Below are 24,099 nucleotides of genomic sequence, written 5' to 3'. Positions count from 1 at the left end.
GTGAGAAAGTGCCCATCTATAAGCCGGGATGAGAGTCCTCAGTAGAAACCAACACCAACCTGAGAGAGCCTTGATCTTGAACTTTTAACCTCCAGAACTGTGAGAAAATATGTCTCTCTTGTTTAAGCCACCTAGTCTGTGATATTTTGTTATGATAACCCGAGCTGACTAATACAAGGAGAAAGTATATTACACCAGAAAATTCCAATTTACTATTTCAGGTTTTGAAGATAATTCTGTCCATACATTTATGCACAGATATAAATATAAGGACAGATATACAATAATTCCAGTTGTATCATTTAAGGTTTATATTTTGTGTGAAAACAATCCAAAGTTGTTTTCATTTTGTTTTGTAACTGCATCAAGTCCTGGAGTACTGTGGCATGTGTTTAGATCATTTGGAGGCCCTTTCACATTTCAAAAATTCAATCTTCAGGCCAGGAACATCTCCAAAAGCCCATTGCAATTGCCTCTAATGTCCATTTATTATGACTTAGTGCTTCTTAACAACTCAATAGATTCTCTCTTTTTCATAAGATTGCTGGAGGGTAAGCCACCATCTGGTAGACTTGCCGTCTCTCAGTGGCTGAGAGGAAGACAGTGAAATACAGAAGAAAGTGTGTTGGCCCAAGAGTTACTAGAAATACCATCTCATGAAGTCACTTTCTACTTCTCCACTTCTTCCTAAATTGCTTCTATGTGAAAGGATAAACTTTCTCTTTTTTTTTTCTCTCTCTCTCCCCGTTTCTCTCTCTCAAAATAGCATATTTTGTGTGTATTTAGCAAGTCAGTGCCTGTCACCTAACTTGCTCATTAGCAGGATATGTCTCACATATCTTGAGGCAATATATGGAAAAAACAGACATAACTGAAGTTAGTATTTCTTTTATTATACCCTGTTCACAAGCCACTTCTCTATAAATTTTGGTTAGGGTCTTTTCTGACCATCCTAGCCTGTGCATACCTTTCTTCCAACTTCTTTGATGCTCACTATTGGCAGCTCTTACTGTAGTGTACTTCCTGGAAATCCAACTGATTGCCTGACACACTTATGCAACTCGTTTTTTCCTAGTTTGGGGCTCTGCTCTATATCACCTCTTCACATGACAGCAATTTTATTAAGTCCTATTCTCTAAAGAGAACAAGAGAATTCATTTTTTCTTCTAGCATGCTACATTGAATTTTTAAAATTATCATTATTCGTAGTTAGGAAAAGCTCCTTTCACTTTCACACCTCCCTGTTTGTGATGCCATGCACATGTTTAGGACTGTTTTCTAAGTCTGCATAGGAGCTACAGCATTTCAAGGCACCTCATGCTTTGTTTTATAGTGATTAATCCAGAACCTCTGAATTGATGAAGTTGATTAATGAATTTTTTTTTATGTTTTTGTTGTTGAAATATGTTGTGTTAGGATAGAAAAGAGACGGTGACCTTAACCTTTTGCATGTTGAATGAAAATATCTGGCACTGTGAAAACAGAGGAAGGGAAGTGCACAGGGAGGGCCCCTGAAACTTCGGCTTCACTTGTTTTATAATAAATATGCCTTTGACCCTAACAGAGAGGGGCTGTGTCTATTTTGTTCACTGATATATTCCCCAGCACTTAGAATAATACCTTGCACATGGTCGTGGTTCAATAATAATTACTGAATAAACACTGATTGCTTCACCTTTCCACCTAACAATAAGTTACGGATATAATAGGAGATTAATAAAGAACAGTTTAATTAACTAATAAATCCTCTTGAATGCAGGCTACTGTGCAGGTATATACATCAATGAATTAAAAGACAGATTAATTTAAAATATACATACCTATATACACATATGTTCATGCAAATAAACACATTGTATTTTCTATTTAGAATTTGACAGAACATTTAACTTTTTCAAGAATCTAGCTATAGGAGAACCCTAAAAAGAAGACTGACTATATTACGGGGTGATGGCATGGCAGAAGTATGCTAATACCATTAAGAGATGTACACCATTTTTAAAAAATTTCACAACTGTAACTTTTTATTTTAAGTTCTGGGATACATGTGCAGAATGTGCAGGTTTGTGTTCCATAGGTAAACGTGTGCCATGGTGGTTTGCTGCACCTATCAATCCATCACCTAGGTATTAAGCCCAGCATGCATTAGCTACTTATCCTGATGCTCTCTCTCCCCTCGCCCCCACCGACAGGCCCCAGTGTGTGTTGTTCCCCTCCCGGGGTCCATGTCTTGTCATTGTTCAGCTTCCACTTACGAGTGAGAACATGCTGTGTTTGGTTTTCTGTTTCTGTGTTAGTTTGTGATGTACAGCATTTTTTAAGCTGAAAGGTCCATTTACTGAGCAAAGCCAGTAGTATATCGCAGTGCCTAAGAGCTTGGCCTCTGAGGTTTGAATAGTACTGTGACCTTGAGCAAGTTCCTTGTTTTGTATAAGCCATTCCTTTCCCATCTGTAAAATAGATATCATGTATATGTTTACCTCATTGTGGTCAGACAATGCATATAAAACTCTCAACCCAGTGTCTAACAAATGGTAAGTACTTAGTAGATTTTTTTTGTTTTTACGATTAGTATCATTATACACTACTGAGGGGGGCACACTTCTTGAGAAATTTAATAAGGCATAGCAATTTATTATCCCACTTTCATCTTTTTTTTTTTTTTTTGACACAGAGTCTCGCTCTGTTGCCCAGGCTGGAGTGCAGTGGTGCAATCTTGGCTCATTGCAACCTCCACCTCCCGGGTTCCAGCAATTCTCCTACCTCAGCCTCCTGTTAGCTGGGATTACAGGCACCTGCTACAATGCTTGGCTAATTTTTGTATTTTTAGTACAGATGGGGTTTCACCACATTGGCCAGGCTGGTCTCAAACTCCTCACCTCCAGTGATCTGCCCACCTGGCCCCCACTTTCATCTCTAACATAAAAAGTATATCCTGAGCAAATTTATATTCACATTTCTGAAAATTGCTGTCTAATGGTTAGGAGGATGACACGTTGCTGCATTTTGCTGACACACACGAGAAGCACACCACAAAAGCCAAGAAAATATTATCCTTCCATGGACCCTCCAGGAAGTCACACAAACAGGAAGTGGGGTTACTCAGACCCTGACTCTGAACCTAAGCAAATAGACTTCAAACTCTAAAGTGTATCTCATCATTACTCAGAATGTGTATGGCAACGGGAAATGATCATAGGTCACATTAGATCTTTTGAACACATACATCACCACAGGAAATCTCATTTTCCAATAGCATTGTCTTCATGTTGAAAGGACAGTAATGCAAGTAGAAAGTCCTCTCCTCCCCCTCCAAAAAAAAAAAAAAAAAAAAAAAAAAAAAAAAAAAAAAACAAAGCAACTAAACTTAGAAGTTGTAGGCCTTTTGGAAATGACCACACACTGTGTAAAGATTTAAGTTCTGCAATGTTTGGTTTATGGCTCTAGTCCTTAAACAAAACATTAGAGCAAAAACCAAAAGCACAAAAGGACCCTTACAACTGCTTTTGGAATGCAGTGGCATAACATTTCCCCTTACTTTTATTAAAAAAAGAAAGATGCAATTTTCTTAGAAAGTCCTTGCTTTAAGTGTCAAACTTTACAGTCACTAAGGATCTAGGTGCTACTATTCTCCTGTCCAGGTGATGCTAGAAATGGAAAGAAGAGCTTCTGGAAGGGGGCTGGCTGCCTCAATCCTCCAGTGCCCCAGGCCTGACACTCTGTGGGTATACAATAGGCACTCCATAAAAGTCCCTTAAGAAGGTCCCTTAAATAAATGAATGATGATAAAAATGGATGCATACCAAGTGTACTGATTTTTTTTTAAATAATATTCCATATGCTTTTACAATATGAAAAATACTTTTTCACTTATAATCCCCTTCGATCTTCCCAATGACCCAACAAGGTAGGGAATTGTTTGCCTATGGCTTATCTAAAGTTACTCAGAAAAATGATGGGATTTAACTTACTCTCCAGAGTTGGAGTTCTCTTTTATGTTGCCATGAACATTAAATGTGCTTAATATATGTTCATTTAGTGCAGTGGTGCTCAACTGGATGTAATTTTATCCCTCAGAGGACATTTAGTAATGTCTGGGCATATTTTTGGTTGTCACTCTAGGGCAGCTGGAGTAGTGTATTGCTATTAACATCTAGTGGGTGGAGGACAGGGCTGATGATCAATATCCTACAATGCACAGACCAGACACCCCCAGCCTACCTTACTACTTCAAAAAAAATTATCTGGCCCCAATTGTCAATAATATCCATGCCCAAACACTGGTCTAAACAACAAATGGGGCCTCGCATGGTCTCTCAAAAGTTTGTAATCCCAGCACTTCGGGAGGCTGAGGAGGGCAGATCGCTTGAGCTGAGGAGTTCAAGACCAGCCTGGGCAAACGTCGTGAGACTCTGTCTCTAAAAAAGAAAAAGAAAAAGAAAACAATGAATGGTCGAGGACCATTAAGTTTATTAAGTTACTACTTTGTTTAAAAATATGTCTGGAAATCTTTTGACACTCCCCATCCATAGGTGGAATCTTAAGTCTCCTCCCCCTGAATCTAGGTGAGACTTTGTGATTGCTTTGATGAATAGATGCAGTTATGTGATTTCTGAGCCAAGGTTATAAAAGCCCATCCATTCTGCCAGTTTCTTTTGGGATGGTTGCCTTTGGTGCCCTACCCACCATGCAAGAAGTCAACTTACTCAGAGGGCACCATGTGGAGAGGCTTGAGGATACCACAGGAAGAGGGAGAGCTGCCTCCCTCTAACAGTATGTGAGAGACTTCGAGTGAGATGGTCCAGCCAAGCCATTCTCAAAGCCCTGACCCAAGACACCATGAGAGATAATAAGTGAGGTTGTGGTTTCATATCACTAAATTTTGGGGTGACTGGTTACATGTCAAGGGGTAACCAGAACAGTCTACAGATTCAGTTACTCACAGTCAAGTGCTCTGGCAGAGAGAATGTCTTCCCTCTCCCTTAAAGGGTTCTGACCCATGGAAGTGTGGAAATTTTAACTAGAAGATTGCCATGCCTCAAGTGAAAATGGATTGTAATCAGCCTGTGGGGAATAAAAGACAAAGGGCAGTTTGTCAAAGAGATTTTGAGAGGGAGCCCCAATGGGTAGCTTAAAATGATGGACACTATACTGGCTGGAGTGTTCTGTTCAGGTTGGAGTCATGGTCTTTAGTCACTTCAAGGCTGGTTATCATAAGAATAAAGCAGGACACTGAACTAGATGATATCTTGAGGTTTCTTCTAGCTCAAATTTCTAGAATACCCTAATCTAAAAATATTTTTTTTCAAAAGATAGGCATTTTTAAATCGTAACTTGAAAAAATGCACCCTCATGAATAAAAAGAATGGAAATAAATATGGAGCACCACTTTATATCCATCAAACTTCAAGAAGTAAATGAAAATCTAATGCTGATGAAATTGGTAAATTCCACATTACAGATGGCTACACTGTTCCATATGCAACAAGAGCTAAAAAACACACACACTCTTTGACATAGTAATGCCCCTTTTGGAAATGATCCAAAAGTAAAACGAAAAGAAAAAACTTCTTGTACAATGATGTTTATAGCCACATTATTTACAGTGGGGGGCAAAATATCCCACAGGAAACAACCTAAATATCCAACAATGGGACAATAGTTAACCATGGCATGGCAGGATGCATTAAAGTTATAAATATAAAACTCACATGGAAAAGTATATACAAAATATATTAAGTGATAAAAGTGCAGTATTCATTTGCATATAGTGAGTATATCTATGAAAAGATTATATTCATATAATCACATGTAAATATCAAAAGAAATATAAATATTTTTTCTGTTAATTATTTTAGTATGTGTCATTTTTCTCTAAAGATATTTAAATATTCAACTTTATAAAGAAAATCCACAAGATAAAATTATTAATCAAGTTTAGTATTTCAATGGACACATTTACTTCACAGTTAAAGAAAAGGGAGTAATTAATACAAGCAAATATACAGATATATATTAAAAAGTGAGTTGAATTTATTGGTCAAAAATGTTTTATACTATAAAATTAAAATTTTAGAATACTAACCAATATTGAATATTGTTTTAATCTATTTTGAAAAAATCTAATTTTCTATCAGTTAAAATGCCACATCAATAAATAGTATGAGGAGAATTTGGAAAATTAAAAATCAATATTTTTTTAAAAGGGGACTCTAAAACACTACTCCAGATTTTCTCCTTTGGCAATAAAAGACTTTGTTATTTTAACCAACTCTCCCACTGAAGATCACTGAAAAATTGCAAGAAATATAAAACAAGATATTTAAGATGTCTTCTAAAGCATCAAATTGCTAAGAAGATGGGGTGAAGAAAGAAGTTCAGAGAAATGACTCAGGCAGACAGTTGGATCACTTTTTTTTTTTTTTTTTTTTTTTAGAAAGGGCCTTGTTCTGTCATCCAGGTTTGCTACAGCCTTGACCTCTTAGGCTCAAATGATCCTCTTGCCTCATCCTCCGGCGTAGCTGGGACTACAGGCATGCAGCACGATTCCTGGCTAATTTTTTAAATTTTTCTTTTGTAGAAACAGAGTCTCGCTATATTGACCAGTCTAGGTTCAAATTCCTGGCCTCAAACAATCCTTCTGCCTTGGCTTTCCAAAGTGCTGGGGAGTTGAATCACTTTTTGTCTTGCTAGAGGACAGTGAAGAAAGCGATTTGCCAATCCTAAAAAGGATCTGAAAAGTGAAATCCAAGACCTGTCAAAAGTGGGGTATCTGATAAATCCCAGGAATAGAGTTTATGCTCAAAACCACTGCTCCTTACATGACATGTGAACCGTAAGTAAAGCAGCCCTTGAATGAATTGTCTGGGTAACCTATAAAAAATCAAGCCCTGAAATTGTATGAAACTGATAAGGAATTCTAGTACCTCCAGGGCACTGCTTCAATTAGCAATAATCGCACCTCAGATAAACCTCATTGGTCATCACACTGCCACTGCAAAACTTCTAGGGTATTGTCTCAATAGAAGCAAATGAAAATGCTTTATTGCTGGGTGTGGTGGCTCACACCTGTAATTCCAGCACTTTGGGAGGCTGAGGTGGGTGGACCACTTGAGATCAGGAGTTCGAGACCAGCCTGGCCAACATGGTGAAGCCCCATCTCTACTAAAACTACAAAAATTAGCCCAGCATGGTGGTACACACCTGTATTACCAGCTACTCAGGAATCTGAGGCAGGAGAATCGCTTGAACCCGGGAGTTGGAAGTTGCAGTGAGCCAAGATTGCATCACTGCACTCCAGCCTGGACAACAGAGCTGGACTTCATCAAGAAAAAAAAAAAAAAAAAAAAACAAAAAGAAAAAGAAAAAAAAGAAAATGCTTTATGTAGAAAAATATCACCCAAGCCTCAAACAATTTTGTCAAATAATTTTTTCTAATATAACGTCTAGCTAAGATAAGCAGGCACCAGGGGAAAGAAAGCAACATAAATGGGAACCAGCACTAACTTTACAAAAGTTGTGAAGGGGACAAGCTAAACTTAAACATCTTAGCAAAGAAATTTAGAAAAGAACCAAATAGAAACTCATAAACTGCGAAATATAATAACCATCATTAAGAACTCAATGAATGTTTTAACTCCAGAATACACACTGTTGAAACAAAAATTAGTAAACAGTAATATAGGATAAAAGAAACTAACCAGAATGAAGTGTAGGCAGACATATGGAGGGACAATACAGTAGAGAGAGTAAGAAACATAAAGAATTATAGGATAATCACACTCATGAACATGAATACAAAAATTCTAAACAAAATCCAGCAACCTATAAAAAGAACATGTGGATCAACTTGGGTTTATACCACAAATACCAGGTTTTCATCATATTTTAATATCAATCAATGTAATTTTCCACATTAATAAAGAAGAAAAATTTATGTAATAACCAATAGATGCAGAAAAATATTTATAAAATTAATACTCAATTGTCACTTTAAAAAATCTCTTAGCAATCTGGTGATGAAGAACTGTGTGATAAAAATACTATACTATTTACTGTACAGTGGTGAAAACAAAAGAACTATATCTATGTGCAACATATAGATTAATCTCACAATTGCAATGTTAAAAAATTCAAAAACAAAATAATATGTATTGTATAATTGTGTGTGTGTATACTTAAAATCTAGCAAAATTAAACCCTTGAGTGTAGATGGTATATTTAACTAGTAGGAGTATAAATGAAAGCAAGGAAATTATTGCCAAAAAAATAAGACTAGAGAAATGGATTTGTGATTGGAAAAGAACATATAGGGGACTTCTGGGATCCTGGAAATCTTTTATTTTTATTTTTTTATCTGAGTTGTGCTTACACAACATTTTAAAAAATTATGTGTTAAGCTGTGTTGGGAGACATGCTTCCATGGAGATCTAACACACCTACATATCTGCTGAGTATGCCTGAGATGCAAGACCCTGATGACTGTTTACCATAGCATTTCTCAGGGATGTCTTTGCAGTGAGCATCTTTGAAGAATGAGGTAACATCTCCCTGTGGGACAAAGAACAGGCTTTCTGACTTGCTACAAAACAGCAGATTCACCATGCTCAGTGTTCCTTTTCTGTAATGCAACTTACTGCATGTTTAGGCATCTATCTGGGCCCTCTGTGTTGCCCCTCTGTGTCTTGGTGGGCAAAGGGTATCAACACAGATATGCTGATCAAGTTACTTGCTGTGCAATGAGTAATAAAGACCTTTGTCTCTTACCCAGAAGTTTCATGTCTTGTGGCAGCATCCGTGAAATAGTAACAAACAAAATTACTAATTCTAAGTAGAGTAAAATGAAACCCAAGCCCTAAAAAGCTGTACATTTACCTTTTATGCATTTGTCTACATGTATGTTACATTTTACAATAAATAAAAGTTTTAAAATTTACTGTATTTGAATTTTGATTTTTTTTCTTTTTTAATACATCATTTTCTGAGTGCTTACTATGAGCCAGGCTCCTGAAATACAATGATAAATAGGACAGAAGGTAATCTTAAAGAATGTATTCGGTGGGAGAGAGAGTCAAGCTGAAGATAAATTATGGTGTTGCTTTATGAGAACAGAAAAGGGGAACAGAAAAGGGTTTGGGGAAAAAATGATATCTGTACTGTCCTAATACTTTCATTCATCTTGTTACTTGTCAACAGAGCTATCCTAGTTAGACATGTTATGAAAAAGGAAAAACATTTTAAAAGCAAACAAACTCTGTCAAAGAAGTGAAAACAAATTTATCAACTAAAGGAATATTTTAGCAAATTCAGATACACTTACAAATAGAATTATTTTTGCATATACTAATTGGAAAGAAGTAGAAATTTTTCAGCTTGGCCTTCATTCAGAAAGTGTGTCTTTAATCCCCTTACAGTAGCTGTCATACATGGCTCATAGATTCATCACTCATTGAATAAAATGGTGCCAAGAACCCTTGATACAAGTGAAGATGATATGGGCCTGTCTTCTCAGCTTGCAGTCAGTAAGAACTATAGCCAAGTTCTGAAAGGGTTATTGAAATAGAATGTAACATTGCTATGGAAGGGTCCAAGTGAGGAGTGATACCTAAATTGAATTAGAAGATTGGCAGGGTTCCTAGGGTGCATGAATCTCAGTGAAATTAAGATTTAAACGATGCACAGAATGGAGGCTGGGGCTAAAGAGTATTCCAGAAAGAGAGAGAGGACATGAAAAAAGGCAGGAGCTCATGGGACTCTGCCTTTTTTGTTTGTTTGTTTTTTGGGTTTCTTTTTTGAGACAGCGTCTGGCTCTGTCACCTAGGCTGAAGTGCAGTGGCACCAATCTTGGCTCACTGCAACCTCCGCCTCCCAGGTTCAAGCAATTCTCCTGCCTCAGCCTCTCGAGTAGCTGGGATTACAGGAACCTGCCACCACACCTGGCTAATTTTTTTGTATTTTTAGTAGAGACAGGGTTTCACCATGTTGGCCAAGCTGGTCTTGAACTCCTGACCTCAGCCTCCCAAAGTGCTGGGATTACAGGCATGAGCCACTGCACTCGGTCTGGGACTTCACTTTTAAAAAGAGTTAAGGTGATAGCTCACTTGAACCATAGCAAAAAAAATAATAAAATGACACTAATATATTAAAGGCAGATTATTTGAGGGGCAAAAATTAAATACTGTGTAATAATAAAGGCATTTCTTAATTACCATGACTACTTCCATAAATTTTTAATCATTTTTCAATGTGGCATTAGATTTTCTCATTAGGGCTATTTATTAAATTTTTATACTGAAAAAATAATAAAGATTACATAAAAGTGCCCCAATTTCCAAGGCTAAGTTTTTCCTTCCCCTCTTCCACCATAGAACACTAAGTCAATTATTTTGAAATATCTATTTTTATGCACCAGCATTCAGAATATGGTTTAGAAGAGGTTATGAAATCCAGGATGGTTTGGGGTCTCTATTCTAACAAGCATCTAAGAAGCTGTTGGCTAAAGGACTCGAAGGCAACTGGTAAACAATTTGGAATAGAGTTGTCTGACTGAACTGACCCGAAGCCAGCTTGTGTTCAGTCTGCATTTCTACATGGTATCCATGGAAATGAGATCAGGCCTGCACAAAGACAAACAAAGGCCACCTTCAAATGAATCCGGGAGAATGACAACTGCCAATGTTCAAGGCGTCCATCGGTGCAATAGCTTTGCTCGCCTTTCAAAACACAATGAAGTAATCTCTTGCACTGACAATACAGTGATTCTTTTATTTCCATTGCTGTGTTTTATTTCCATTTTTTGAACACTCTTTTATTTCCATTGCTCTGTTTAAAAATTAACTTCATTTTTATACAGAAAGCCTTTCAGTGGTCAGGAGTTATATATGGCTTCTGTAGCAAAAACTGTCTCTAGACACTTTAATAAATGGAAGAATTTCAGTCACCTTTTCAGAACAAGATAATAATGCAGGAATCTTTGCTGACAGAATTGCAAAGTTTCTGTTACCTATTTGGGCAACAGAACAGACAAGTCTCTCAAAGGAAGTAAAATATATTTGAAAATCATTAACTGTCCCAACAGTCTATGGAGCTGAAAACATTAGCCAAATATGCAGTTCAAGTTTATACTGGTTCTAAAATGTAAATTACGTGTTCAAGAGTTAGCAGGCATAGACTGGATAAAACACTTGAATATAAGCACTTTAATTATGACTAACAAAATTAAGAATAGACATCAACTTCTTTTCTAATTTATGATTCAATGAAAATGTTTTGAAATGCTTTGAAAACAACACTAAGTTACAGGGCAAACAGCTTTCACATTTTACTAGCAAAATCTTTCAGAGACAACACTATTTCTCTGTGATATATGAGACTGTTATTTCTAACAAGATTATTTTGGGGATCTTTATTAAACTAGATAGAAATAAGGGGAATTGAAGGCTTAACTGGAGAAACATAAATCTATATTTCTAAAAGAACTTGTTTGGTTTTTAGGAAATCTGACTAACGCACTGATATTAATTATGCCACTGGAATTGGAGTGTTATATATTACATGCCCTAAAAACAGCTTATTAATCATAACTGCATTAGTGTGAAAAGATGTTTGAAACCAAAATGTATACATGGGCTCATCAATCTAAGCAGCCACTCTGGAGGATGGGAGGTACCTTTTTCCATACCTCTGCTTTCTTTCCCTCTTTGCATACCTGGATCAACTTCACACCTTTCCCTGATTAGTTAATATCCTCTCTATTTCATAGCCCAGGGTCTGCTTTGCCTACCTTCCCATGATAACCTGCAGCTTCTAAGCAGGGGCTCCTTTCTGCCAGAGCTGTTACTAGTGCTGGACACCTAACTCTCTTCCTCTCCTTTCTCTCTGATAATATCCTTTGTATAGTCATCAAAGCTCCTCCCCTTCCCTCAGTTTCTCTTGTGCAATGAATCTCTGCCACATACATATACCTCAATGCAATTTTAAAACATTACAAGTGTACCATGCAGCACCATAAGTAACAGAAATAAAAAATCTCCTTATAATAATTTTTATGCAAGCCTTTCCCATGTTTGCTTAAAGGCAGCTGCTCCCATTTTACCTCTCTTGCTACTCTCTCCTCCCTTTTACTATCATACCAAACTTTCTCACACTCTCTACATTTCCTCATCTTCCATTACTCCTCTGGCCGCTCTGTTCTGATTTCTCTTTTTTCACTCCATGTAGACTGCCCTTCAAGACTATCAACTTGCTTGACTTCTTTGAAGAAGTTGACCCTATTCACTACCTCTTCCTTCTCCAAATAGTTCTGTGCTACCCCAGTTCTTGCAGTTGTCTTTCTACTTCTCCAGCTGTTCCTACTCTCTCCCTTCACATTTCCTCTTCCTCACCTGACCCTCTAAAGCAGTTCCTTGAGCCATGGCCAAAGCCCTCTTCTAGTCCCTTTGCCTGACTCATCTTGTTAATGTCCTATCTTCAGTTATTCTCTAGGTGCCAATGACTCCTAAATCTCTATCCCCATCTTACTTTCCTGCCTGTTCCTAACGCCACTACATATAACTATTTGCTAATTAGACATATACATCCAGGTGTACATCCAGATGTCTCAAACTCAATCTGTTGACCTGAACTGATCATCTTTTTCCTCCAACTTGCTCTCCTTCAGCACTGCTTATCTCAGTGAATGGCACAAAATCAACTGACTTGTCCATGTCAGAAACCTAAGCATCAGCCTTATCTTCTCCCTCTCTCTCCACCTCCATAGTAAATCAATCATCAAATCCTGTTCACTCTTCTTCTTTAATGCCTTTCCAATAAATCCTCCAGTCTCTTTCCCTACTGCCACTATCTGAGTTTTTACCACCATCATCTCACAACTGGTCTCCTAAACTAAAACTAAAACCCAAACATATTCTTTCTTAAATGATCTTGGTGCTTTCCACCTGGCCTCCATCCAACCCACTCTCCTCATCTGATCATGTCACTCCCCTGCTCAAGGCCCTTCAAGACCTTTCTACTGTTCTCAGGATAAAACCCCTGCTCTATATCATGACTTACAAGGCCCTTCAAGGTCTGGTGGCTGCAACTCAGCTTTCACTCTCTGGGAACAACTTGAATACCACATTGTGGGCATAAGGACCTTCTGTTTTCATTGCGTCAGTATTCTATTCAAGAACCTAAACATCTGCCCCAGGAACTAGGAGACGAGTCCTATTGCTAGTTATGTTGCTTGCTTTTCTAGTATCACTTACATCCATTTTAAAAGGTAGAAACTGTACTCCAGGATCTCTGAGGTTCTTCATGGCAGATCTAAATTGTAATGATTCTTACCTGTTTCCATGAAGACATCTCAGGAGGCTAGACACTTCAATGTATCACAATGATATCTCTCCATCCTCTGAATTCAACATGTTATCTGTACCACTCATTAATTGTGAACACATGACATCTATTATGCTATGGAAACTGATGTTACAGCTCTCTAAGTTATAGAAAATGATATAACCAAGTTTTAAATTATATGAAAATTTTAAAGACACCAAGACATACTATAGTCTTAAATTCCAATAATTCAGAAGTTCAAAGACAACATCAAAGTCCATTTCTTTCCATAAGGCTAACTCCAATATACTAGCTTTATCCTTAAGCTAGTTGACATCGCAGTTGCAAGATGGCTGTAGTTGTTCCAAATTTCACATATAAACTTGACAATATTTTCTTTAACAAATATCTCTCTTAGGAATGAAAATTCTTTTCCCATAAGTCACCCAGCAGATCTCATTGGTCAACCTTGCATTACATGCCCATGGCTAAATCAGACACAGCCCAGATGCCTGGGACCAGCCTAATCACCCTTCAGCATCACCTCAATTTTTTAGCTATGCAGAAGAGGATGGTAACTCAATAAATGGACTTCTGCTAGAAAGGAAGATGACAAGGGGCTGAAATTGGTTAAGTATGCTTCAGGGCTGAGACAATTTCCTTTCCCCATGTTTGGATTTTTTTCCAAATAAACTCCAACCTCTCTCAGCCATGTTTTAAGTTTTCTCTGATTCCACCTTGAGCCTAACACACAGCCTTACATAAAGTAGATACCTTATAAGAATATTATCAAGTATTAGTTTTATGAAATTCACTGTAGCCAGATCAATAAAGCCTCTATGGATCACCTGAAGGGGCATAGGAATCACTGTCATACACAGAGTCTATTGTCTCATGATTTGCAGTGCTAGGATTCTCCCCTGTAGGGAGCCACTCTTCTGTATGTTCTGCTGGTAAATGATTGGTCACTGAACAACTGGAAAAAAAGAACTCCACCAACCTTCCATTTCTTTCACTTGCCAATCAGAGCGGTGATCTTTCATGGTTTCTCTTGTTTTATGCTGTGCTAAATCTTTTACTAATATCCCAAGCTGAGCAGTGTTGGTAGTCAAGACTTATGGCTTTAGTGGTAGAATTTATGTGATGCCTGGACACTTTTGGCCCCAAATATTTTCCCCATTCTTCCTGAAATTCTTGACTTTATACACATTGACTGAACATGTGTCTTTATTTTGCTGAATGTCTAAAATTACATCATGAGAAGCTCATCTCTTTACATTAACAAGCTTCTACCTTTTAATATCTCCAGGGCTGTCAGCACATGAAGACAGGGAGTAGTCATCATCCACTTCGGAAGGAATTTAACTGACACAGCCGCTCACAGCCACTAACTCTTGATGTTGAAATCTACCTGTCTTGGTGATCATCCCACAAGGTGGTAAGGGGTAGGTAACACTGGAATTTTAATCTTAGGAAAGTGGGGAGGCAGTGATGATATTTAAGCAATCACTTCCAAACCAGACCATACATCAGAAATATATGAGCCATTGTAAATACTGAATCCTAAACCCCAGTCCATAAATTTAAGTCAAACAGTGGCTCAGGACCTAGTATTAAGAGAGCAAAGCTTAGCTGAGGTTGGGCAGGTATAACTGCTAAGCCATAGGGGAGCAAAGTTACTTTATCAGAGGGCGGCCTAAGTCCCATTAAGGGGCTGAGGATGAGACCAGAGAGGTGGTTTAGGGTGGGACCCAGCAAAGGTAGGTTACCTCAAGCTTTCCTTTTTGTTGCAAAAGTAAAAGTTCTCTACTTTATAATTTTGCTTGGGATTGACCCTTCTAGCATTGGATAATGGTCAGTTGCAAAGAGATGAGTGAAAAGGGGTGAAAGCAACAATGCAATGAAGGCAAAGGGAGTATTTGGAAAATATTTTCACACTAAATATGGTATGATCAGGTGTAGTCATAACAAAGAATGGTGTATATAGATGGCTTTAGAGTGTGTACATGTGTGGGCATGTGTGTGGTGTGTGTGTGTGAATGTGTATTTGTGTTCAGGAAAGCATACAGTAAAGAAAAGATTGGATAGGTAGAATGTACCTTTTTATGACATGCCAAGAAATTGGCACTTTACCCTACCTGAGATGGGGAGCCACTAACATTTGAAACAAAGCAGTAATTGGAAACATATAAGTGTCTTAGAAAGATATCATTAGTGAAAATGAAGAGAATGGGTTGGAGAGATAAGAAAAGAAAATCCAGTTTAAAAGTTACATACAGACATAAGATGAGGGACTGACTGGGTGGCAGGAGTTGCATGGATGGGAGGAGAGCCAAGAGAATTTGGAGAGTGGCTGTGAGGTTGAAAACATGGGGACAAATTCCTGGCTTTCATGTTTGTGTGATAATAATACTGCCATTAAACAATGGTAGCCAATAGAGGAGAAAATTCTGGAGGACACGTATTAAATTCAGTTTTGGAAATGTTGAATCTGGCTTACTTACAGACTGTCTAGCTGGAGAAATTTGGTGGCTGATGGAAATACTGATCTGGAACTCAGAAGGGGAGGCTGGCTGGAGATAGGGACCTGTGCAGGGAATGGGCCCAGAGACAATCTGCAGAATGAAGAGGAGGATTCAGGATGAAACTCTGCAAACACCAACAAGGAAAGAGCCTGTGAAGGAGATGACGGGAGAGCAGCGAGGAAAGGAGGAGAAAAACAGGAAGAGAACAGAAGCCAGAAGTACAGGATGTTTCAGGAGGAAATTAAATATCAAAAGAAATATTTTTTTTACAATAAGAAAAATTAGAATATTTACAGACTGAGGGGAAGTTACATTAGGGAGAGAATTTGAAGACGTGCACTGAAGAGGGATGAGTGCTGGGGCAGGGTTTCAGGGATAGTAAGAAAAGATGTGGTCTAGAACCTGGGTGGAAGGACTATCCTTGACCTGTGAACATACTGGAGAAAATACGTGATGGCCTTCATTTCAAAATTACATTTGCCTTCTGCTAATGGCCTATATTTAGTTTATAGATTATCTAGGCCTCTTATGTTCTCTCTTTTTCATCCTCAGACTGCCCATTTACCATTTTCATGGTATTAAGCACTTAGAAATGAGCACTGAAAGGTGATAAATATAGGACTAAACTATGAGTACATTTTCTTCTTAAGCACCTGTGAAAAGGTTTCTGGAAAGCAAATTTGAATGTAAGTGTTAAAATAAGATTTGAAGGTGATATGTTTTTAAAGTGGTTTGCATGTATGCTAGAGATGATACAAGATGTCTAAACACACATGTGTTTTATACATATTAACAGGTATATATATGTATATACAATTGTATATACATAACACGGCATATTGTATACTCAAGGAACAGGTTTTCTCTTAATTTAAGATCATCATAATGAAGCTCTGTCACATACATAGCTTTTAAATTTGAATTTTTGTATGTGATATGATGCAATTGTACATACTATAATTTTATAACAGTTATGTGTGTGTGTGTGTGTAATGATAGTGAATGAGAAATTTTATACAGATAGGGTAATGCCATACAAAATTTTAGATACTACTGAGCTAGAGATTTCACTTATTCATGTTAACCTGGGATACTCATGGTACCAAAAAACGATGCTGCTTCTCCAGGAACCTCAAGTGATATCACAAATGAGAGAGCTTTCTTATGAGGATCTTAAATTAAGAGAAAACCTGTTCCTTGAGTATACAAATGGCTGGAGTAGGAGGAGGGAATAAATGCACAAAACTTTTGCAGATGTTATTTTCGATCATCTCTGCTTGCTTGCCCTGAGGTGTCCTTATTAACTCCAGGTTAAGTCTCTGTTCCTGACTTCATGCCTTGCAGCGTTACATTCCATTAAAGAATTTCTCACTGCTCTTTACATAACAAGCCTCAACATTTCAAAGATAAGAAAATGATGTTATGTTTCCACAGCTTATTTTAATACTGGGTAATTACAGAGAGATGAAAAGCTTGGGTTTATATTTCTATTAGCTCTAGTTGTATTCCAGAGACTCATTTTCAATGTCAAGTACAACTTTACCTGAAATCCGTAGATTAGGGTTGGTGGCCCCTCAAAACAACTCATCTGGTTCCCGGAGAAAGTATCTGAAGCACCCAATACAGGTGAGACAGAAAACCTAAGATGCCCATTCTCTGCTCGGGCTGGGGACAGTGGTGCTATTTCTCTCTTATCTCTGACCTGGAGAAAATGCCACCAGGTTGACGTGGACTAGGATTCATTCCTCCACAATAAAGAATAGCAAGTGGCTGAATGTCAGTCTCAAAGGAGGACAGCTTAGGAAATATTTATCTTCTTTGTAAAAAAAAAAAAAAAAAACCACACACACACTTTAAAATCAGAGACAACTTTTTTGTTTTGTTTTGATCGCTGTTCAAACTACATTATACAAACGTGTCTCCTTCTCCCTCCAAATAAACTAAAATTCTTAAATTTGACCACACTCTAGCTCTGCCTAATGGTCAGGGAAAAAGTACTCAGGCGATGGTCCCACAAAAGCTCTCCACCCCAGCCTTATTTCCTCCTCTTAGTGTAAAAGAACTCAGGAGGTGGGCGGGCCCCACTGCCACAGCACTACAGTTAGAGCGGCTGCTCCGGCTTATTCTCTCATTGCGGCATCTAGGATCCAGAAGTGAAAAGAACTTTTCCTAGCCTAAGTTTACATTCGTCGAATAGACAATGTTACAACAATAAGAGGAAGGCAGAAGGGAAGGAAGAATTCCCCTCTGCCAAGTATTTAAGTGGCGCTTGGTTTATTCCAAGTCCCCCCGGGAAGAAACACAGCGCTTCGTCCTCAAGTAAGAAATAGAGGCATTATTCACATCCTTGGGTTGAAAAATAAGCATTTTGGGGCTCGCAGGCTTCTGCAAAGCCAGCAAGCACCGCGCTGGGGAGCTGCAGGCCGCCATCAGCAATGGATTCCGGATTTCCCTGGTCTCTGGCAGGCGCGGCACCTGTCTGAGCCAGGGGAAGTTGGGCTGCAGGACTCGCGGTCTCCAGGACACCCGCGGATCCCCACACTGTCCATGCTTGAGTGCGTGCGTGTCTGTCTGTGTGTGTGTGTGTGTGTGTGCGTGTGTGTACCTAAAACAAAGCACTCACTGAGATGACTTTGGAGGGTGCTTAACAGACAGGGCGAGACGCGCCTAATGGGGACGCAAGGCCTGGGATAGCAGGAAGGGAACGAAGAAGTATCTCTTTCCAAGCAGGTCCTGGTGGCTGGGAGCCCGAGTCCACGTGGAATCCGAGGGAACACACGGAGCTCGCTCCCTAGTTCCGCCCAATCCCTCCAGCGAGCCCCAGGAAGCCGCGCGGGTCCCTCCTGCAGCCGATGCAGAGCGAAATCCCCGCTTACCTTGACTGAGCGCTAACACCAGCAGCAGCGGCAGCGGCGCGGCCCCTGTCCGTTCTGGCCCCATCCTGGGTCTGACCGGGGGACCGTAGTTGCGCTGGGTTTGCAGAGGTTTGCAGAGGATACCCTTGGCCGAGGGATACGAGAACCTGCACACTCTAGAAGCTGTCCAGAGGGCTTCTCTCCCCCGCCCGGTGAGAGCAGGGAAAAGTTTCTGGGCAGCTCCTGCAGCGCCGAGGGCCCGCCCCAGCCCGCCCCTCCTGATTCCGCAAACACCGGATCTGCTCCGGCCGCGCCCCGCCCCACCCCGGCCCTGCGGCCCCGCGGGCTGCACCTCGGCTCGTCCACACGCGGGGCACCGCACCTTGGCTCCCGTACAGCGGCCCAGCCCCGGCAGCCTGGAGGCGGTGGGGATGGGGATGGCGCCCTGGCAGGCTTTCCTGCCCTGGACGGGACGGGTGGGCATATCCGACGGGCGAGCGCCCGCCCTGGCACCACTCCGCCCCCGCAGCCTGTCGCCAGCACGCAGGAGATGCCCCAGTCCCCGGGAGAACGTGGCCCCTCCGCAGCCCTTGGCAGCGCCCGGCTCCTGGCAGCGGGTGCCGAGGGCACTAGCCCTAAACCACAGTGCCTAGGGGCTGCGCGGTGCGTCCCTTTCTCTGTTTTTCCTAAGTGGGTGGAGAAAGGGACAAAAATAAGCGCAGAATGACCAGGTTAGAAACTAACTCATCAGGAAAGAAGATCTGCTCACAAGTTATGATTATCCAAGGTGATATTTAAGCAATACCTGCTGCAAGAGCTGTGTGTGTGTGTGTGTGTGTGACAGAGAGACAGAGAGAGAGAAATCATCATTACTTCCTCTCCTCCGAGATAATTAAGAGCTGATTTAATGACTGAGTTTAGGAGATTAACTTCAAGGCCAGAGAAAAGGCTGAGAGCCCATACATGCACTTGTGACTCTCCCTGTCTACATTACACCATGACATAGACTGTGACCATTTTCTTCCATTATTTCAGTCTCACATCTGGAAAGAGAACATTCTATATCCGAGATTTTTAGTTAAAAACCTAAGAAATAGGATATTAATTTTTCTTGTCTGAATCTTATGTTTTATCCAAAAGTTTGGCCACAAATTTCCAGCACATTGCTGAAACCAGAATTCTTCCAGTGACTACTTTTGTGAAGGAACGAACTGTTTTCATAAATCAAGCTTAAGGAGTTATGAGTCTAATAATCATCATTATTGTCATCATTCCAGATCTTCATGGAATGCTACTATGAGCTGAATGGGATGCCTGAGATACTGCCTCTAGGAAGCAAAGTGGCTCAAGGTGGGAAGGACTTAATAATTCATAAAAATCAAGCTCTTCTCTTTACTATAGATAGGGCTGATGTGTCACATTGTTAAAGTATTAAATTGGTATGCATCAGATGTTGCTGCTGATGGCTTATGACTAATACCCTTTGAACCCAAATTATATAGTCCCAGGCTCTTTCCTGTTTTCTTATCAGTCACTTACTGGCTGCACTTACTCACCTTGACAAACACCTGAAGGCATTTTTTTCTGAATTGTCTGGGGTACTCACCTGCTTACTAAAACTCCGGCTATCACCTGAGAGCTCTTAGGTGGCTGCTCACTAACCGGTGACACGATTTTGACGCTCCTTACAGACTTTTTGAAGGAAGTCAGCCAGGTTTCAGGGAGATGAATATCTGTCTGTTTCCTTCTGACTCACTGAAATGTGAGTAAGTGTTTGGAACAGACCTGTGTTTGGGAGGCAGGACACTTCCTTTAATGTGAGACAGGAATTTGTGTTTTATCTCTGGGGGTGGGGGGAAATAACATGCATCCTTCTTGGTTTTTGTTCTCAGAACTGGACAAATTAACATTACACTGTCATGAAGTGCAGAATAAGTCAGGAGCTACGATTTTCCAGAGCCAGGCAAAACTTTTAGAAACAAAGAACAAACTCCTGCCTCACATTAATTTTAAGAGGATAAAGTGTTCCTGAGACAAAGTAGTTTGAGAACCCCTTCCAGGGTGCTCTCCTGCCTAGTTGCAGTTGTGAGGGACACCACATTCAGAGCAGGAAATATGGAAGGTTAAGCTGGGGCTTCTCAAACTCTTTGGTCTCAAGAGCCCTTTACTCAGTAAGTCCTTTAACAAAAATCCTATTATGTGTGAACATAAATAATGTACATTTTATGAAAAATAACTATATTTCTCCAAATGAAAGAATCCGGGAGAAGAGTGGCATTGCTTTACATTTTTGCTAATATTTTAAATATCTGGCTTAAAAACAGACATTTGGATTCTCAGATCTGCTTCTGCATCCAATCTGTTACGGCATGTAGTTTTGGTGAAATTATATTGATTAATCTGGTGTTACACAGATATGGACTTAGAAAAACAGGAGATAATTCTGGATAATCCCCTGATACTACACCAAAACTCAACAAGTGGTAGTTTCTTAAAGTTGCAATGTGGAATCTGAAACCATATCAATGGTTTTTCCTATTCCGTGGCATTAAAATTCATTGATCTGCTGGCCTCTCCGTGTCCCTCTCCCTTTCTCTTCCTGTGAGTGCCCAGTGATGAAGAATACAATGACCACCAGTCCCCATCCTTGTTCTTGCACCATGAGGGCAAATGTCAACACAGTGAAAAACGCAGTAACGTCTCAGTATTGTTATGAAAATAGTTTTGACTTCACTGGCCACTTGAAAGGATCTTGAGAGACCCAGAGACCCTACTCCAAAAAGCACTCAGGGGTGAAGTGAGGCCTTCCCCTCTTTTTCTTTTCCTTAGCTCAAGACAGAGTTTTGTTGGGGAACACGGCTCAGATAAGTTTCCCCAGTGTTTCCTTCTGATCTGTTGTATCGTCATGCCCTGCCCTCCTTTGTTTATCCCGTTTTCATATAGACAATCACCCAAACCAGAAACCTCTGCTTTCTTCCCCAGGTGCACCACCAGCCCCCTGCTAACATCCCATTCCAATTCTGTCTTTACACCCTACTAGGGTTTTCTGTGCCATCTCCTATTTTCTGTTCCACTGCTAATCTCTCTTTGGTTCAAACCCTTTTGATCTTTCACCATGGTGACAAACTCCCATATAATCTCTCTGTGCTTCCTTCTCTCCTGTTCCAGTTCATCTTTTATACCTGTTGTCACAGTTATCCAAAAATGCAGGACTGATCTGCTGAAAATCATTAGATGTCTTCAGGACATTCAAAGTACCCTAGGGTTTAAGGTCACGATTTGGCTCCAACTCACCTCTGTGGGCTCCGTGGCTATCTTTCCCTCTTGCACACTATGTTTAGGCCAAATTCACGAGTTCACTGGCCTGCCTTTCCCATTCTTCATTGTCAATTCCTTATTTTTCTACTTAGAATAGCTTTCTTTTTTTCTTCCATTGTTTCAAATTCTACTTCAAGGCTCCAGTCAAATTCTATATTATTAGCCCAGCCTTTCCCATTTTCTTCACTGAGAACTAATCATTCTTCTTTCTTGGCTCTGGTTTCCTCTAGCTTTTTTTTTTTGTTTTTGTTTTTTCCCCCAAATAAACTTTCTTTTGTATGTATTACAGAGTAATATATTATTGAGTTATATGTGTATATTCTACCTTCTCATTTAAATGCTGGGTCTCTGAAATCTTATACATTTTTGTTATAAGAGTCTAGTCCTATACCTAGTAAATAAATTTCTAATAAATATTAATAGTTATTATAATACATTGAAATGAGTTTCCTAACAATTCCACATTCTTCTCCCTAGACCTGAAAAGGGTGGTAAATATGAACTTCTAGGTAAGTCCTAGTAATTTTGAAGTGAAGTAACCAGTGGCTTCTCAAATGTTACTCAGTGAATCCATGGGATGAGTGAGTAAAGCTTAGAATCCATTGAGCTTGACTCACACACAAGTCTCTAAGCACTGGCTGGGGTGCATAATGGCCAAAATAAAAGAGACACTCCTAACTTAAACACAAACAAAACAAATAAAATAATTCTAGATTTCCTAGCTTCCTGGACCCATCAATACACTGATGAATCATATTCATATTTCGATTCTAGCACAACTACGGTTGACTGGCCTTACTTGTTTTCATGCTTGTGGCAGACATGCAAAGCTATTTGCCAGCTCTGCCAATAGGGCTTTCTCAGAGTCTTCCATGATCCCCTTCTAGAAGTCACTGAGTCACATAATCCTGCCTCCTTGTCGCTAAGCCAAACACCTGACCAAGCTCGATCAATCTCCTAGGGATTTACATTCATGGTATACAGATTCTAGAATCTTTGCTGATCACATGAAATGGAAATTTGTGTTCACTTTGTACAACCATTTTCTTTCTTTTTTCCCCCCCGCCTTTTTTTTTTTTTTTTTTTTTTTGAGATGGGGCTTTGTGCTGCCTAGGCTAGAGTGCAGTGGTATTCATAGTTCGTTTCAGCCTCAAACTCCTGGGCTCAAGTGATCCTGCTACCTCAGCCTCCCGAGTAGCTGGGCAGGCATGCACCACCACACCTGTCTAATTTTTTAATTTTTCTTTTTATAGAGATGGGGTCTCACTGTGTTGCCAAGGCTGGTCTGGAACTCTTGGCCTCAAGCAATCCTCCTGCCCCACCTTCCCAAAGTGTTGGAATTATGCCCAGCCCATTCATTTTCTTCAATGAGTGTAGAAAAAGCCAATCTGCACCATTTATCAAAAACAGAGACAGATATGAGAGACCAAGAAACTGAGGTGTGCATGCATGAGACAGACAGACAGAGAAAGAGAGAGACACGGAGAGAGATTGTTCTAGGTCTTTTAATTTTGTTTGCCATTGTGTGAGATCTGACTGTTCTTCCTGGGTTTACATCCATGAAATATCTGTGTATCATTCTATTACTTTCAGTGGCAAAACCCACAATTATTTTTGGACCAACCTAATAATAGTTTCTCTTTTTCTCTGAAGCTAATTTGAGCAGGTTTCTAGTCCTTGTACTAGACTACGTTTAAGACATATCTGTCTCTCTTCTGGGAAATCTTAAGGACTTCCAAGTTAACATGTCTCATTAACTTCTTTCACTCACAGTTCCTAAAATAGAGCCTGACACAGAGTTGATGCTCAATGAATGTTTGTTCCCCAAATGAATAAACATACTTCTTCAACTAGTCACTAATGTCTTGATTTGTTAAGATGAACCCGAAAAAAAAAGAATTTTATCTCTTAGGACATGGAAAAGTTCAATGAAGGGGAAACATTGTTCATCCATACTTTAGACTTTTTTAAAGAAATGTGTCATATGAAGGATTAAGGCTGCTTATGGCTATCTGCTACTCTACTCTGTCTGGAAAACTTGCATGTTCCAGTTAGAGGGCAGTTATTTTTCAGGGGTGAAAAATAAA

The 24,099-nt window shown here is 39.6% G+C and overlaps 1 protein-coding gene and 1 long non-coding RNA gene across 7 annotated transcripts in view, besides 2 other annotated features; one reads left to right on the top strand and one right to left on the bottom strand.

Annotated features, from left to right (window-relative positions):
• The window catches only part of ITGA2 (integrin subunit alpha 2), a 105,428-nt gene extending 86,532 nt beyond the window's left edge, over nt 1–18,896 (bottom strand). For all 6 annotated transcript variants that reach the window (NR_073105.2, NR_073106.2, NR_073103.2 and 3 more), the window contains exon 1: nt 18,716–18,896. Coding sequence is in view for 1 of the 6 variants with exons in the window: in NM_002203.4 (NP_002194.2) it covers nt 18,716–18,779 (64 nt within the window). In the remaining 5 variants the exon portion in view is untranslated. The remainder of the gene's footprint in view (nt 1–18,715) is intronic.
• ITGA2-AS1 (ITGA2 antisense RNA 1) overlaps nt 17,962–24,099 on the top strand; it is a 59,681-nt gene continuing 53,543 nt past the window's right edge. Inside the window, exons 1-2 of the long non-coding RNA NR_186583.1 lie at nt 17,962–18,158; nt 19,972–20,044. This is a non-coding gene — a long non-coding RNA (ITGA2 antisense RNA 1). The remainder of the gene's footprint in view (nt 18,159–19,971; nt 20,045–24,099) is intronic.
• Nucleotides 18,943–19,092: a silencer, noted in NCBI's record as "silent region_16003". NCBI's record gives its function as "represses an Ori minimal core promoter by ATAC-STARR-seq in GM12878 lymphoblastoid cells {active_cell/tissue: GM12878}" and the evidence as "EXISTENCE:reporter gene assay evidence [ECO:0000049][PMID:35858748]".
• Nucleotides 19,557–20,756: an enhancer, noted in NCBI's record as "P300/CBP strongly-dependent group 1 enhancer chr5:52283322-52284521 (GRCh37/hg19 assembly coordinates)". NCBI's record gives its function as "activates an origin of replication core promoter dependent on BRD2, BRD4, P300/CBP, MED14 and CDK7 cofactors, with strong dependence on P300/CBP, by STARR-seq in HCT116 cells {active_cell/tissue: HCT116}" and the evidence as "EXISTENCE:reporter gene assay evidence [ECO:0000049][PMID:35650434]".

Source organism: Homo sapiens, chromosome 5 (genome assembly GCF_000001405.40).
Source record: "Homo sapiens chromosome 5, GRCh38.p14 Primary Assembly".
NCBI classification, from domain to species: Eukaryota; Metazoa; Chordata; class Mammalia; order Primates; family Hominidae; genus Homo; species Homo sapiens.
Note: the sequence above shows the minus strand (reverse complement) of the source record. Positions and strands in the feature narration are given on the sequence as shown.